The 18,436-nt window shown below is 37.3% G+C and overlaps 1 annotated feature.

Annotated features, from left to right (window-relative positions):
• Positions 17,652-18,153: an enhancer, noted in NCBI's record as "NANOG hESC enhancer chr2:125733153-125733654 (GRCh37/hg19 assembly coordinates)". NCBI's record gives its function as "activates a minimal SCP1, AML or CMV promoter by ChIP-STARR-seq in naive H9 embryonic stem cells {active_cell/tissue: H9 hESC(naive)}" and the evidence as "EXISTENCE:reporter gene assay evidence [ECO:0000049][PMID:30033119]".

The raw sequence follows: 18,436 nt of genomic DNA on the forward strand, positions 1-18,436 counted from the left end.
ACAGATACTCCACATCATACTCATTAAGAAATTTCAAATTAAAACAAAGATGAGATATCACTGTTGGAATGACAAAAACTCAAAACACTGAAGACACCAAATGTTGAGAATGTGGAGCAAAAGGAAACCTCATTCATTAATGTAAAAATGTAAAGTGGTACAGCCACTTGCAGGAAAGTTTGGCAGTTTCTTACAAAATATATTCTTATCATATAATCCAGAAATCACATTCCCTGATGCTTACTCACATTGTGTTCACAAAAAAACTTTCACATTCATATTTATAGCAGCTTATTCATAATTGTCAAAACTTAGAAGCAGCCATGATATCCTTTGGGAGATTAATGGATAAATTAACCATGTTACATCTGCATAGTAGACTACTCTAGGTGGCTCATGTAAGTGGAATCGTAAAGTATTTTTCCTTTTGTGACTGGCTTGTTTAATTTAGCATTATGTCTTTAAGGTTCATTCATACTGCAATGTGTCAACATTTCCTTCCTTTCTAATATTCAGTAATATTCTATTGTATGTATATATCACATTTTGTTTGTTCATTCATCCTTTGATGGACACTTAAGTAGCTTCTGCCCTTTGGCTATTGTGAATATTGTTTCTATGAACATGATGTTTAAGTGTCAGTTCAAATTTTGCTTTCAGGCTGGGCGCAGTGGCTCACGCCTGTAATCCCAGCACTTTGGGAGGTGGAGGTGGGTGGATCACAAGGTCAGGAGTTCGAGACCAGCCTGACCAAAATGGTGAAACCCTGTCTCTACTAAAAATACAAAACTTACCTGGGTGTGGTAGCGTGTGCCTGTAATCCCAGCTACTCAGGAGGCTGAGGCAGGAGAATCACTTGAACCTGGGAGGCAGAGGTTGCAGTGAGCAGAGATCATGCCATTGCACTCCAGCCTGGGTGACAGAGCGAGACTCCATCTCAAAAAAAAAAAAATGCTTTCAATTATTTTGGGTATATAACCAGAAAAGAAATTGCTGGATTATATGACAACTCTATTTTTAATTTTTTGAGAAACCTCCAGACTGTTTTTTATAGTGGTTATACCATATTACATTCCTAGCAACAGTGCATGCACTTTCCAATTACTGCGCATCCTAACTTGTTATTTTGGCCTACTGATTTTTGACAAGAGTGACAAGTACGTACTATGGGAGAGGAGGGGTAAGAGTCTCTTCAACAAATGGTGTTGGGAAAACTGGGTTTTCATACGCAATGAAATAAAATTGAACACCTACTTAATACCATATACAAAAATTTATTTGACATTAATCAACAAACTAAATATAAGCTAAAATTATAAAATTTATAGAAGGTAGCATAGGAGAAAATATTCATAATCTTGGAATCTGCAATTCATTATTAGATATGACACTAAAAGCAATCAGTAACACAAATTTAGATAAATTGGATGATATTCAAATTAAAATATTTTGTGTACCAAAGTATGTTCTCAAGAAAGCTAAAAGACAACCTATACAATGGAATACAATATTTGCAAATTATATATCACCTAAGGGTTTAATATCTAGAATAATAATAATAAAACTTCTGCAACTCTACAACAATAACGCCAGTAAACCATTTTAAAAGTGGTCATAAGCCTTGAATAGAAACTTCTCCAGAGAAGATATACAAATGACAATAAACACATGAAAAGATGCTCAACATCATTAGTCATTCAGGAAATGCAAATCAAACCATAATGAGATATCACTTCATATCTACCTGTATGGTAATAATAACAATGAAAAATAATAGATGTTGACAAGGATGTGGAAAAACTGTAACCCTCCTACATTGCCACTGGGAATGCAAAATGATGCAACCACTGTGGAAGACACTTTGGCAGTTGCCCAAAAGCCAAACAGAACTAAATGTTTTCACTCTATGATTGGGGAAAATACAAGAAAGCCTGCTCTCGCTATTTTATTCAACTTAGTGCTGAAATTTATACCAGTGTGCTAAGGAAAGAAAAAAAAATAAAAGACATACATATTGAAAAGAAAGAGATAATTTTTTTTTCAGATGACACAATTATGTATGGAGAAAATCCAAAGAAATCTATAAAAAACCTCCTAGAACCAACAGGTATGTTCAGCAAGGTTGGAAATAAAAGATCAACATACAAACACAACATAATTAAAAATGGAGAAAATCCTAAAGAATCTATAAAAACATCCAGGAACTAATATGTAATTTTACAAAGATTGCAAATACAAGATCAAAATACACAAGTCAATTGCACTTCTAAATCTTAGCACTGAATACATGGATTGAAATTTAAAGATAGAATTCCATTTACAATTACTAAAAAATGAAATATTTAGGTGTAAATGTAACAAAACATGCACAAGATTGTATGTTCAAAACTATACAACACTGATGAAAGAATATCCAAGATGAGCTAAATGAGTAGAGATACATATTGCATCAATGGATTGGAAGACTTCACATAGTAAAGTTATTAATTCTCCCATTATAATTTCATATATGAGTTTAACACAAAGCTTATAAAAATCCTAGCAATATCTTTTTGTAGATATCAACCAGATTACTATAAAATATATATCCAAAGTGAAAACTAGAACAGCTTAAACAATTTTGAAAATATTATATATTGGAGGAAAATGGTCTACCTGGTTTCAAGATTTGTATAGGTACAGTGGTCAAGATTATTTGCTATTTGCAAAGGGACAGATACATCAATCCATGGACCAGAGGAAGAACTTCTTACAGATGCTGATAGAAATGCCCAAATTGATATGGACAGGAGATAGGGAAATGCTGGGTAGAAGAGAGCGGTTTCCCGGCAAAGGCCCCATCCTCAAACCTGGGAGACCCGTGCCCCTAAATAGGGACAGGCATTCTTGTCTTGTGTTAGGGACAGGCCCAAAATGTTGCCTTTTGGCCCGCCATGCCCCTTATCCTGTTCCCATATAAACCCCAAAACCCCAGGCTCCAGAAGCAGATAAGCAGACGAGCAAATGCAGAGACAAGCAGATGGACTTTGGAAGGACGACACGGGCAGAGAAAGAGAGAAGAGGAGGAACGTGTGAATGCCAAGAGGAATTTGGCTGGTCGCGTTTGGAGAAGGGTTCAACTCTTGGACAGCCAAACTCCAGGGGAAGATCATCTTCCCATTCCATCCCTCCCTTCTGGCTCCCCATCCGTCTTGCTGAGAACCACCTCCACCACTCAATAAAACACTGCATTCATCCTTCAAGCCTGTATGAGACCCAGTTCTTCTGGCTCAGAATACAGAAGGCTGTCACGCTGGCCTTCTGGCCTTGCAGAAAGGCAGAGGATCCATTGAGCTGGTTAACACTCAAGCCGTCCCTGGACAGCAGGGCTAAATGGGCACACTGTAACACACTCCCACTTGGGCTCTTGCACCTGTCCATCTGGGTGCTACCCCGCCCCTCAGGGGATTGAGCAGCAGCAGTGACCAAACAGGCAAGCCACACCCCTGGTTCAGGTCCTGCGAGGGGGATCAGGAAATTTTCCTATTTCAAAATGATTTTTAACAAAGGTATAAATTCAATAAAATGGAGGAAATTTTTAACCAATGCTGCTGGAGCAACTGGACATCCACAAGCAAAAGAAATTAATGTTGACCTAAGTCTCACATTTCATAAAAAAACTGACTCAAAATGAATGACACACATAAATGTAAAAGGTAAAAGTAGAAAACTTAAAAAAAATATAGGAGGAAATCTTTAGAATTCAGGGCTAGTCAAACAGTTCTTAGATAACAGTGTAAGCACAAACTATAAAATGAAGAATTGATAAACCAGCTTCATAAAAATGAAAAGCTTTTGTGCTTTGGAAGAACTTGTTAAAAGATTGAAATGGTCTGCTTCTGAGTGGGAGAAAATACTTCAAACCATATATCTGACAAGGGACTAGAATGCACAAGTCTCAAAATTCAAGAGTAAAATACCAAACAATTCCATTAGAAAATGGGCAAAATAAGTTGAGGATATATACAAATGGTCAATAAGCACATGATATGATATTCCACATCATTAGGCATTAAGGAATTGCAAATTAAAGCCAAAGTGAGATATCCCTGCACACCTGTGACAATGGCTGAAATGAAAAATTGGTAGAACTATTAGGTCCAATATGAGAAGAAACTGGATCTGTCACACATTGCTGGTGGGAATGTAAAATGCTCTAGCCACTTTGGAAAACAGAATGGAAGTTTGTTAAAATCAAAACTAACAAACAAAGCTAAACCTGCAACTACCATCTGACTAAGCAATACCGCTACTGGGCGTGGATCGCAGAGAAATAGATTCATGTTCGCACAAAAACCTGTACACAAATACTTATAGTAGCTTTATTTGTAATGTCTCCAAACTGCAAAATCCAGATGTCTTTCAGTGAGTAAATTGTTAAACTGTGGTATATCCACACCATGAATGCTACTTAGCAGTAAAAAGAAACAGATTTTTTTTGTTGTTGTTGTTTTTGAGACGGAGTCTCGCTCTGTCGCCCAGGCTGGAGTGCAGTGGCGCAATGTCCGTTCACTGCAAGCTCCGCCCCCCAGGTTCACACCATTCTCCTGCCTCAGCCTCCGGAGTAGCTGGGACTATAGGCGCCCGCCACCATACCCAGCTAATTGTGTGTGTGTGTGTGTGTGTGTGTGTGTGTGTGTGTGTGTGTGTGTGTGTGTGTGTTTAGTAGAGACAGGATTTCACTGTGTTAGCCAGGATGGTCTCGATCTCCTGACCTCGTGATTCGCCCACCTCGGCCTCCCAAAGTGAAACAGATTTTTTATGTAAGTAACAACTCGGATGGCTCTCCAGAGAATTATGGCAAGTGAAAAAAGCCAATCTTATAAGGTTACATACCATATGAATTCATTAATATAACATTTAAAAACTGACAAAATTGTAGAAATGGAGAGATTAGTGGAGGCCAGAGTCTGGGGAAGGGATGGAGGTGATAGGGAAGTTTGTTGCAAAAAAGCAATGTAAGGCATCCTTGTGGTGAAAGAACTGTCAAGAGTCTGGATCAATGCCGACATCCTAGTTATGATGTACCCTAGTTTTGATGTTACTATTGGGAGAAACTGGGTAAACGGTGCATAGGGTCTTTGTGTTATTTCTTGTAACTCCATGTGATTCTTCGATTATCTGAAAAAAAAAAGCTTAAACGGAAATGAAAGAGTACCATATTTAGAAATACTTCATGATAAAACACTGATCATAAAGAGAAAAAATAAATGCATCAAAATGAGCATCTCAAAACTGAAGAAGTTGTAATAAAGGTATAAAGCTGTGGATTCATTTTGTTGATTGTTTTCTTTACTGTGAAGAAGCTTTATAGTCTGATTTGATCCCATTTATTTATCCCACTTGATCCCATTTATTTGATCCCATGTATGGATTTTTGCTTTTGTGGCCTGAGCCTTTGGTGTGGTATCCAAAAATTCATTGGAAGGACAATGTTTAGCAGCATTTCCCCTATGTTCTCTTCTAAGATACTTTCTAGCTTGCATTTAGGTATTTTATCCATTTTGAGTTGATTTTTGTGTATAGTATAAGGAAAAGGCCCACTTTTATTCTCTGCATGTGAAAATCCAGTTTTTCTAGCACAGTTTGTGGAAATAACTGTTGTTTCCTCATTATGTCCTTTTGGTGTCCCTGTCAAAAACTAGTTCGCTGACAAATTCATATGTTATTTCAAGGTTCTCTCTTTTGTTCCATGGCACCCTCACACCTGAATGACAGTTTGATGTGCACAGAATCCTAGATCAATGGCGATTTTTCATTAGCACTAGAATGATTTTATTTCATTTTTAAAATATTTTAAATTTTTAAATATTTTGCTCTTATCCCATCATTTTATATTCTATTGTTTATCTAGGAATTTTCAAGTATGCACGAATTTTATTTATATCACTAAGGACTTGGCATGCTTCTACAATACAAGGATTCACATCTTTCGTTCAACCTGAAACATTCTCTCAGTTTGCTTCCTTTTTTTTTTTTTTTTTTTTTTTTGAGACAGAGTCTTGCTCTGTCACCCAGGCTGGAGTGCAGTGGCACAGTCACGACTCACTGCAGCCTTTACGTCCTGGGCCTCAGTGATTCTCCCACCCCAGCATCCTAAATGGGACCACCTGTGTGCACCACCAGGCCCAGCTGGTTTTTACAATTTTTTGTAAAGAAGAGGACTCACAATGTTTCCCAGGCTAGTCTTGAACTCCTGGACCCAAGTGATCCTCCCGCCTTGGCCCCCTGAATTTCTGGAATTACAAACGTGAGCCACTGTACCTGACCCTCAATTCATTTCTAAGTCTCCTTCTGAGTATTTGTTGGATCATGTCATTTTGTTATCTGTGTTTGCTTACTGCTTGTTTATTGTTTTAAATCTCTGTCTGTTATTACTGCATTTCAAAGAGTTTTCTCACATCTTTTTGTAATTTAGCTATGTCTAATTTGCCGTTAAACTTACCAATTAAATTTTTAAATGAAGCTATTATATTTCCTTTTATTAGATTACTAGTTAGAACATTTTAAGAGCTGTCCTGATTATTCTAATTTTATAACATCTTTTTCTTATATTTTGATTTCTACTCCTACTTTTATACCTTTAATACTTTTGAACATAGTGTGTCTTTCAAATTGTCTGATTAGCTGAGGCTCCTGGGACTCTTAATCTTGTGGTTATCAATTTTCTTCTGTTCGGTTTTCCCTCATGACATGTATAGTTTGAAAGTTTTCTTCATGGGCTTAGTAAACTTGGGAATGACTTTTTCCTACAGATATTAATTTACCTTGGGTTTCTGGACATGTCTTCAGTGAGTGAGTTGCCCCAGGGTTTTCCCTGCCCACTTTCGTGTTACATTTTTAGCTTGGAGATGCATAGCCACTATGTGATGTGTAAATGCTGCCTGTGCATTCACAGGTGTTATAGGTTTAGGGCTCTCCATCTCACAATAGATATTATTCTTTACTTGACATTTCCTCAGGCCTTTGGATGATGTGTTTTCAGTGTCTCTTTTAGCAAAAAGATACTGATTTCATGAGTTTTCTTTATTCAGAGTCCTTAGTTCCAACTCGATATGGACCCAAGGCCATGTCTCTTGCCCATGGATGACATGAAAGCCCAGCCCCTGACTACTAAAGCCCATGTTCTGGTGGGATATTACCCCTGACTACAGCATCATCAGCATATTGTAACAGCAAAGAGAGGCACTTCCAAAGAATTGAAAGCCTTCAATTTGCAATTGGTATGAAAAGCAATAAAAAATTGTTCATCTTTGACTTACACCCAAGAAGATTACTTAATAAAATGTGGAAGACTTCTGAATCATGTATTCTCACCTGTGAATGAGGTTTTCTTTTTTGGCCCCATCATATATATTTCCTATAACATAATGTGATAGAAAATATCCGTTGCAAAATTTCTAAGATATTTTTTGCTGATTGAGACTGGATTATGCCTAGTCATTTTGGAGATTCACATTTGCTGCTTAGCATTTATTTTTAAATTATATGCATCCAGTGTTCCACCGATATTCTTTCTCATTTCCTTGGAACTTTTTTGTTGTGTTTGTATTTTCAGCCTAGCCTCAATTATGACTCATTTCCAGTTGTCTCCTCTTTAAAAGTAAAAGAAACATACTGGATTTGGGAAAATCTCCTGTTTTGATTTCTACTTGTTCTTCTCATATTTTTAAGGTGGTGCCTGCTGTCTTATTTTTTAACCAACCATCAGTTTGCATAATTTAGAAATAAATGGAATAAATTTTGACATCAAGGTCACGGCATCAAGCTTTTGAGGATTATTTCAACAACTATGAAATAGGTGATCGTGTAGGTAGAAAACTGTACAGATACTATTACATAGCCATTGCCTCTTTCTAGTTTATTAATTAAAATTATGTATGCATGTATCAGCAGAGAATTATAATATAATAATTAGTTGACAATAGCCAATAGCCATTGCCTGTGTAAAAAAAATAGAACTTACTGGCAGCTTTGAAATAAGAGGGTATTTTCTCCTTTTACGTTGGATAAAAAGGGAGTCACTATATTACACTTCCGATGAATTACATTAATCTTAATAGAACATTTTCCCTTAAACCTGCAAGCTATTTTATAATGCTTTATATTTAATTTTTAAAAAGAGGCGCAGACTCTAAAATCTCTTTGCATTCCATGTGAGGAAATAGCTGCCAGAAAAGACATGAAGACTTCAAGAGCCTACAGAGGTAGGGCTGATGAAAACCGTACTGTCCAGAGTGTTGCAAGAATGATGTGTGTGCAGGAGTTAGGCTTTCAACAGCATCACTGAAGGAAAAACCAACATCAACAGGCAAATAATTTTGTGTGGCAAATCGGATTTCCAGACAATTTGGTAAGAGTTTTTACAAAATCACAAATAGAAATAAAACTTTCAACCTAAGGCCCTAGCCTTTCTAACATTTCAGTTTCTTTTCCGTTTCAGAGATACTATCATTCGCTGAGAGTAGTAAGAAGGCAAAACCAACAGCAAAGTAGGTGACATTGGGATTTGAGAAATGACACTGACATAATCAGATTATTTATTCTTCCTGGCAACTCCATGCAATCACTAGTAATACTTTCTTATACTGAGAGAAAAACAGAGGCTCACAGATTAAACAATTTGCCTTAGATCACAAATGAGAAGTGAATTTAAATCTATCACTACACTTTTGGAAGACATTGGCCAATTACCTACATCAATGTAAGAACGTTAAACATTTAGGAAATGTTTTTTTTTTTTTTTTTTTTTTTCTGAAAACTTCTGAAAAAAAAAAAAAGGATTATCTAGGGACTAGAAAATGTGTTTCAGGAAGGCACGGAAACACGTCACATACTCTGCTAGAAATATATTTTGCCATAGCAAAATTGTGTAAACAAGACTGATTACTCCTTTTCCCACTCTGGGAAGCAGGCTATTTACTCTGGTAGTCAGAGGTGACCCACTAAGTTCAAGCACACATTTCTAATAATGTCAGAAAATTCAATACTACAGAAAGATAACAGTTTTATTGGTAGTGTTTGTACTCACACTTCAGAATAAATTAAGCACTAATGTCATCAATAAACTGTCAGAAACATAGTTAATGATACAAACTTTTAGCGACTTTTGTCTAAGAAACAGATATGAACAAGCAATTCCACTTAAATATCTATGTTCTGGTCTTTTCCAAGCCCTTTTCTTCTGTTATTCATTTTGCTTCACTTTGGTCTCATAATAGTTGCCAATAAAATTGTTTTATTCTCTTCTATTAAGTCTCTTATTATGACTGGTTGAACCTTCTTGGATTCTGTGTGAACTTCTAAGGAAAGTTGTTTCTCTCAGTAAGATTCCCTGTAGATTTGGTTTAGCTTAATGTGACTATTTATCCTCAGTGATGTCTTTTCTTGCTGCCATAGAAAAAGGGGAATTCTCTATACTCTTTTTGGTTCAGGGGCTTCCTACTCAGGTCAATTCTGAAAACAAATTCCATGTGGGAAGATATATGGAGAAAGAATATTTCCTTTCTTCTTGTGTATTAGCAGCACGTACTCCTGCAGCCTCTCCCTTTTAATAGCAACTCTGTGAGTCACACTCCTATTTCAAGATAAGTCTAATGGACAGTCTAAACTGCAGGTGCAACTAAAGAACATCAGTCACCCAAATTTTATAACTTGAATTCCAATACACAAAGTGATTAAATGGGGCTAAAAAACATTCAGCAGCAGTGTATAAAGGCTTTACCCCTAGTTTTTCTGGAATGAAAGAGAAAAGAGCCTCAGGGTTGCCTTATTAAACTGAAACCAAATAGAACCTCTGCTTCATATAAGTGGAGGTATCTCATCATGTGTGTATGTGTCCCTGTGTGTGTGTAACAGAGTCCCTCTCATGGGTAGAATGGTTTAGTAATGACTCTCAATCCACAAGTAGAGGAATGTAAGATGTCAGAATTGTATTCCTCCTTATGAAGCCAAGATTGTTATGGAATAGAGTGTATATGACTGTATTTTAACTCTGCCTCTCTCTAGGGTAATCTCAGTGAATCAAACTTATAATTGCTCTGAAATCAAAGAGAAATAAGCTTTAAAAAACTCACGATTTATCCCCCACCCATAGAGTGATTTAAGATAGTTTCTTGTTCCATCCTAAGTGTAAAATATTGCAGTTTACATTTTATTTATGGAAACATAAGTATGCTAGCAATTTTCTTTGCATAAAACAGATGTATTTTGAGGAAAATATATACTTCCCATGTACCCATTTATAGATATATGGTTTCTCTTGGGAGCTGAAAATATTTTCATTTTTTCTCTCAAATCCCTCTAGAGGTAATTATCTGCTTACAGTTCTTATTTTCTTTTATAATGAAATAGAATCCTATGATACAGGTTACTAACTCAATTAAGGTACTTGGCTTCCTAGCTTTAGTCTATGTTACTAACAAGTAGATTTTTCAGGCTTTGCTTTTTTCTTCTGATAAAACAGTTTCTTAGAATTAAATGTTAGCATATTTCAGGATTGAAACTCTATATGTCTATTTTTAATCATATATAATGCAATCATTTATATATGTGCAGTAAACTATACGCACATAGAAAAATGAATAGAAATATCTTCCTTTCTCTTAACAATGCCCTATATCTTTATTACCAAAAATGTGAGTCTTATATAGACTTCTATAAGCCATTTCAAATTCTTTACAGTCTTTTTGAGCCATGACAAATTATGAGCATATGAATTACAATATATGATATTTCAATCATATATATGTGTATATAATATATATGTGTGTAGATAGATAGATAGATAGTAGATTGATATCTCCAAATTGACTTGAAGAAGTTCAATTATCTGTCCATTCAGAACTAGAAATGACAGGAAAAGAAGAAAGGAAAGAGTGTCAACTTAGTGCTTTCATTTTTCCATTTGGAATTTCACCTTTTCCTTATTTGATACAAAGTATTGTGGACATTCCGTTAGGATTGGCACACTTTCCTCCTCACTCCACATTGCAGACAGGGTTTCTCACTGGCTTCCAGCTACTTGTCCAAGACTAAACATGCTTGAGAACTAGCTTCACCCTAAAGAGGGAGAGCATGGAGAGGGGGTGAATGGAGTCTCTTAGGATGAGAATGGTAGCTCCAGCTCTCCTCGCTCAGAAGAGTTAACAGCTGCTGCAGTTTTGCAATCATGAAAGAAGATGTGTTAGTTTCCTATGATTGAAGACTTTGTTCCATATCTTTGGATATCCAATGTGATTGGCTGAATAGGGGTATCTTTGGGGCTTGGAGGGGAGAGCAAAAAGAGGCAGGTAGTTGCCCTTCCAGTGACTCACACCCACCCCTAATTGTCTGTCCTTTGTTTTGGATGGGCTCCAACTCTGAATTTCCCACTTATAATGTCAGCTGCTCAAGCTTTTTGCTGGCATTCTTCCTTCCTTGTTTTCCTTCAGTATCCCCTGACCCTGCCTTATTTTCCTTCTTCCTTTTTCTGTTATTTCTCCCTCCCCACAAAAAAAAAAATGTATTGAGTGATTTGCAAATAACCAGTGAGATATGCTACCCGCCTCTTTTGCTCTCCCCTCCAAGCCCCAAAGATACCCCTATTCAACCAATCACATTGGATATCTAAAGATATGGAAAAAAGTCTTCAATCATAGGAAACTAACATATCTTCTTTCATGATTGCAAAACTGCAGCAGCTGTTAACTCTTCTGAACGAGGAGAGCGGGAGCTACCATTCTCAGGCTCCTTGGGGAAAGAAGAGCTAAATCAGGTAAGGGCAAAATGGTGCAAAGGCTTAATTAAGATCATGCAGGAACAGTGAGATTGCTGTGCTTCTGTTTTTCTGTCCTTTATCTTAAGAAATATTCATTTTATTCTACAGAAATCTTTAGAAATGTCAGTTCTCCCCAGACTTGAATTATCCCTAATCTGTCATTCCATAGAGAGAGATCCTAAATAATGTGCTTTAGGAAATGACTAGCCAAACCAATCTGTATGCTGGGCTCCCCACAAAACACTCTGTCTTCCTATCTACACTTAGCTTACACAGAAGATAAAATGCTTCATTTCTTTTTAGTGTTGGGTGTTTGGGAAATTGTCCCCTGTTATTCTAAAAGGTGATCCACAGGTAATGAATGCAGCAGTTAAGCTGGTCCTAGGGAGTGGAATGAGTCTTGTTTTCTGCGCACTACATAAGGCAAGCTTTAGTGGATTACAAAATTCCAGAAACCCAGAAGGAGAGGATAAATGCTGGCATTACCTTCTGATTTCAGCCATGTGAGACTGTCTCTATTGAACAAGATTGGACATGAACAAAGCCAGTCTATTCTCAGCTTGCCAGCTGCAGCTCAGCTTTTGGGTGAAATGAGGTATTTATTTGCTCTCTTCTTCTCTCCTTGTAGAGGCTCCTCTCATATGAATCATGCGTGTGAGACTCCTTGTACCATTTAAAATTCTTTCTGTCAGCTCCATTCTATCTACATCCATAGGAATATTCAGTAGAAATATCTGGGGTAGAGTGTGGAGGAGAAAGTTTGAGATTACATATAAACTCATCACTGGATTTTGAGACAGGCTAAGTCTCCACTGCTGATAACAAACTTGTCTTAAAGGTAAGCAATCTCTTGTTCAGGAATTTATCAACTGCTTCTTGGCCTTTTGGCTAAGATCATGTGTAGGAATTTATCTGCTGCAGAAATTTACATTGTAATTTAAGTAATGTTTCTTCATGGGCACATGAAGGGCCTACTTTTGATAAAATTCATAAGTCATAATAATTTGAAAGATCTCCTTTTTCTCTGCCCACCCTACACATCAATGCTTTTAAAACTCCCAATGCCCAGCAATTACATCAGAGGCTCTGAGGATGAAACCCAGGCATAAGTATTTTTAATGCTCCCTATGTGATTCCAATGTGCAATATATACATATATATATAATTTATTTAATATATTTAATATATATAATATATACTGTCTCTACATATATCTATAATATAACATATGCATATATGATAAAGTATAAATATATTTAGATATATAGTATATATCTTTATATATGTTATATATGCAATATTGCATATATAGTATATATCTAAATATATTTATACTTTGTATATATTTAGATATATACTATATATTGCATATGTATTTAGATATATAAATATATTAAACTTTGTATTTTTACCTTTTATATATTTATTCATCTTTATATATATATATATATATTACATATATATGTATATATACTTCATATATAAAATATTTAGAGACAGGATCTTGCTCTGTCACCCAGGCTGGAGTGCAGTGGCGCAATCATATCTCCTTGCAACCTTGAACTCAGGCCTGGGCTCACACAATTCTCCTGCCTCAACCTCCTGAGTAGCTGGAACTACAGGCTTGCCCCATCATGCCTAGCTAATTTTTAGATTTTTTGCAGAGGAGGGGTCTTGCTATGTTGCCCAGACTGGTCTTGAACTCCTGGCCCCAAGGTATCTCCCAGCCTCTGCCTCCCGACGTGTAGGGATTATAGATGTGAACAATGCCCAGTCAATTTGAGAAATATAGTGTTAAGAAATTTCAAGCATTTGTGGTTACATGTGGGTGTATTGTGAGAGGAGACAGAAAAGTTGCCCAAGGAGAACTCACAATATTTCAGCAAGTGTCTACTCCATTTAGTAGTATGTCAATATCTTTGCTTTGATAGGAACTAACACCTTATTAAATTATCCACATTTTTAGAATCTTGCCCTTGTCCTTGCTTGGCTGGAAACTGGACTTCGTAAATACTGAGTACTAGTAGGACTAATATAATAGCTTACTAATATATGATTAGTGTGTCAATGAACATTTCTATTGGAAAGTATGCTTATGTCCCCTATGCTAGACTTGTCAAGTATGAAATTATCCCATAGAGGAAAAATACTCTTCCATAAACTCTTGTCCAAGGAATGGCAAGGCTTAATAGTTCCCTGCTCTCCTCTCTAGAAGAAAATGTTCTCTAAGGTCGAAGTTTCTTGCGACTGCCTGACTTATCTTTTTCCTAGGAATGTTGGGGTAGATACTTCCAGTTTTGCCTGTGGAAGGCATATCAATTATTGTGTTCTTGCTCATATAACATCTTAGGGACTCTTCCTCACATAATTGCCCCGAAAGGACCCATTATGACAGCTTTATGTACTTGGTGAGCTGACCCAAGAGAAAACAATCAGGCTGCCTTTCCTGGGAATCAGAAACTGGGCAAGTGAGCAATGTATAATCAGTGACATGACAATGACCAAAATATTCATTTTTTGTTAGAGTCAGTGACCATAAAAATCAAAATGCAAAACCCACTGAAGTTTAGAGAAGTGCATTGAGAATGGGGAAAGCATATATAAGCAGAAAACGCTGATCTTCACAGAAAAGTAAGAGAGTAAAGTTGCTATGGAGGGAAAAGTAGATGCAAGATGCAGTACACCCCAGTGAATGATGCAGATTGCATCAGATCTGGAACTTTTCATTTATTTTATGGCCATCCATAAGATTATGTATTGGGGCTTATCAGCCATCTCCCTTACATGCTGACCATGTTTTTGTGGCATTCTGTCCTGCAACTAAAAGGTATTGATAAAAAACATCATCCCTCAATGCATACTTTTCGATATACTGCTTCCTCTCCTCCTGCAGATGAGTATGTTAATTTCCAAGGGCTACTATAACAAAGTGCCATGAACTTTGTGGCTTACAACAACAGAAGGCTATTCTCATAGTTTTGGAGTCTAGACATCCAAAACCATGTTTTCAACAGAGCCATGCCCCCATGAAGACTCTAGAGAGGAATCTTTCTTTGCCCTGTCTAGCTTCTGGTGGTTGCCAATAATCCTTGGCCTTACTTGACTAGTAGATGCATTACTCTATTCTCTGTCTCCATCTTCACTTGGTGCTCTCCCTAACGATTTTGTGTTTGTGTGTGTGTGTGTGTATGAGTGTGTGTGTGTATGTCTTTTTTCTCTTCTTATAAAGACACCAGCCATTGGATTAGGGCCCACCTTTATCTGGCATGACCCCATCTTAACTAGTTATATCTGTAACAACTCTGTTTCTAAATAATGTTACATTCTGAGGTTTAGGGTGGACATGACTTTTGAGGGACACTCTTCAGCTCACTGTAATGACACAATCTATATAATTGTTCTTTCTTGAACCCAAGCAACATTCTGTTCCAAGAGGCCTTCTCACAGGGTGTCTATACTGAAAAATGACATGATTCCAAGACATGTTCATTTACACCACTCTAGTAAGCTAAAGAGAAAGGCATTTGAGGATGAAGACGAAATAGTGGTTAGTTTCTACTTGTGCCCAAGAGCATAACATAGAACTACTAGATCCTGGATAATTAATGATCACAAAAATACGATAAATTTTGTAAGACCTTTTCAGAGATTGCAAATAGGTGAAACTACAGTATGAAAGCATCTAGCAACTGCCATATATTTTATTCAATAGAATATAATTTAATCAGATAGTGGTGTACTGTGTAGGAACACCTTCATCTCACTGTCTGTTTCTCCTGATATTCAAATTCTTCACTTGGATGTGTCACTGTTCATAGACCTTCTTGGCCACAGAGGGCAAGGGGCAAATTTCTACTCTCAGTGTTTACACAAGACATTCTTGCTGTCACAAGCAAGGTGATGTATTCCATTGTTGGCAGCCTCTAGCTGTTTCTGTGTGGATGACCAGCCAATTCTCCGTCTACCTAAATCTGAAGAATCATACAGACAGCTATAAGGAAATCTAGGCAGAACTAAATTTACTTTTTGTGCCCATTACCTTGTATAACACCCATACCATTAAGCTATATTGGTATTTGGGTTATAATTTGGTGATAATATATTCTTCTGTAACAGTGATCTTTTCTCATATATGCAATTAGATCATTTGTCATTTAAATGCCTTTCCATATCTTGTCAAACCCTGAGGTCTCATTAAACATTCATTGACTTGCTGATTGACAGACAGAAGGAGGAAGACTTATAGGTCACTAAGCATGGGAACTTAATCAAGTTCTTCAAATTTCCACAAATCCTTGCTCTATAAGGTGCCAAAAACAATACTGAATAAATAGGACAGGATATGGATTCCAATCTCCTTTCTACTGGACCATGTGACTTACAGCAAATCAATTAAAGTCTTGATTCAGTTGCTTTTTTTGGTAACATGTACCACAATAGAGTTTAATGAAATATGATAAAATACAGTAACTTATCTACTAAAAACTGGTAATAGCTACCTGATATCAATGTATAATAAATAGGCAGTCGTTGCACTAGGCATATTTACCGAAAACATTTCACTTAATCCTCAAAGTAATCATTAGGTTTGATGTTATTGTTAACATATTAAAGATGATAAAACTGGAATTTATGTAAGTTGAGCAGCTTATTTAAAGTGAACGAGGCAGTTACTATGCATCAAGGATTTGAACATAGGTCTGGACTCTAAAACTTATTCTCCATTAGTTTGCAATGCTTCTTTACAGAGGCTAGGTTAGGTGACCTCCTGAGGCCCTTTCTAGTCACAACATTTATTATACTCTTGCATGTTAGGTGGTAGAGCAAAGAGGGTTGACTTTTGGTACATTTCACTTGTGTCCGTGTGAAGAGACCACCAAACAGGCTTTGTGTGAGCAATAAAGCTTTTTAATCACCTGGGTGCAGGCTGGCTGAGTCCGAAAAGAGAGTCAGTGAAGGGAGATAGGGGTGGGGCTGTTTTATCAGATTTGGGTAGGTAAAGGAAAAAGGGGGGTTGTTCTCTAGTGGGCAGGAGTGGGGGTCACAAGGTGCTCAGTGGGGGAGCTTTTTGAGCCAGGATGAGCCAGGAAAAGGAATTTCACAAGGTAATGTCATCAGTGAAGGCAAGGACCAGCCATTTTCACTTCTTTTGTGGTGGAATGTCATCAGTTAAGGCAGGAACTGGCCATCTGGATGTGTACGTGAAGGTAACAGGGGATATGATGGCTTAGCTTGGGCTCAGAGGACTGACAGTACATGCCTGGTGAAAGATTGCAATGAGCACAGCCTATTTTTATTATCACTGTCTTCTCTGTGAACATGAACCACCTGGATACAGCATGTCCTTCAGTTTCTTTCCCTGTCCACTGTTTTTCTGCTGCTCTGCATAGCAGTTACATGTATTCTCTACCTTTTCTACCTGAATTTCCTCTACCTTCTACCTCATTTCCACACAATACAAAAATAGCAGCTCTTCTTTAGCTGTTGGTTGGTGTCTATATTGTCTAGAAGAAATCAAGAAAACAGCACATGCTAAGCTGTGTCCTGTGGAGGCCCTAATGCAAGAGTGAATTTGCATGTTCAAAGTACAGTGAGAAGGTAGGTTTCTTGAGAGCAGTGAGCATTTCCCTCTTGTCCATGTGTCTTTAATGAGAGCTATCGTAGCTTAGGCCAGAAGGGGAGCCATCGCCCTGGACCAGCAGAGGAAACATTCCATGTGGGAGCTACTGTAGTATTGATCACTCCTCCAGAGTGGCTGCTTGCTCTCTGTTGCGCAAAGGGCTGTCCTGCATTCCCAGACCAGCTCAGGCCCCCTCTCCCTAGGGCATCTCAATAACCCACAAAGCAATTTTGTTCTGTTTTGTTTTTTTAATTTACACAAGTGGTCTTTCATTGCATAGACTGTACACAAAAGTCATGAAATTGTTCAGAGAATTACCACAATGCCTTGCAGAAAGTTCCAAAGGGAAGAAGAAATAAACAAAAGGCTGAAAGAAAAAAACAAGGCATTTCATTGGACTTTAATAAGCTGACTTTTCTTCATTTCCCATAAGGTCACATTCACAACTCTCTTTGCATTTGGATAGCTGCTAATGGCTGTGAGTTTATCACAGGAAAAGGATCACATTCTCTGCAGTTGTGCAAGCCAAGTCAGTGCAGTTGATGACAGTAAGGGAGAGGAATGGAAAGCCATCTGAAGCCTTGCCCCCTGATAGAGCTCAGAACCTGGTAAATCACATTAAATGGAAAGCAAAGAGGAAGTCCCCTAATTCCAACGAGAAAATCTGCTTTTCCCATCTCCCTGAATCTCTACTATCTCCGCCTTTTTAGGAAGGTAATGATTAAAAAATATAGGATGATATTCAGGGAAACAAACCCCAGTGTAGTTCACGTAAAGTTTACCCCTGAGGGAGTCATACTTTTTCAGGTCTGAAAAAGCTGATGGAGTCCTAAGGGAGGGTTTATACTGTTGCGGTTGACAGTGGTACTTTGTTTTTGTTTTTATTTTCTATATGCTTTTTCCTGTTCAGAAGGTCATGCTTATATATGGCTTACAAAGTAATATTAGGAAAACCCTGCCAGCCAGCCACCCAGGGGCAGAATTCACTCTTGGAAGAGGACTGGGGTGTCTCATGGAAA

This window comes from Homo sapiens, chromosome 2 (genome assembly GCF_000001405.40).
Source record: "Homo sapiens chromosome 2, GRCh38.p14 Primary Assembly".
In the NCBI taxonomy this organism is placed as follows: Eukaryota; Metazoa; Chordata; class Mammalia; order Primates; family Hominidae; genus Homo; species Homo sapiens.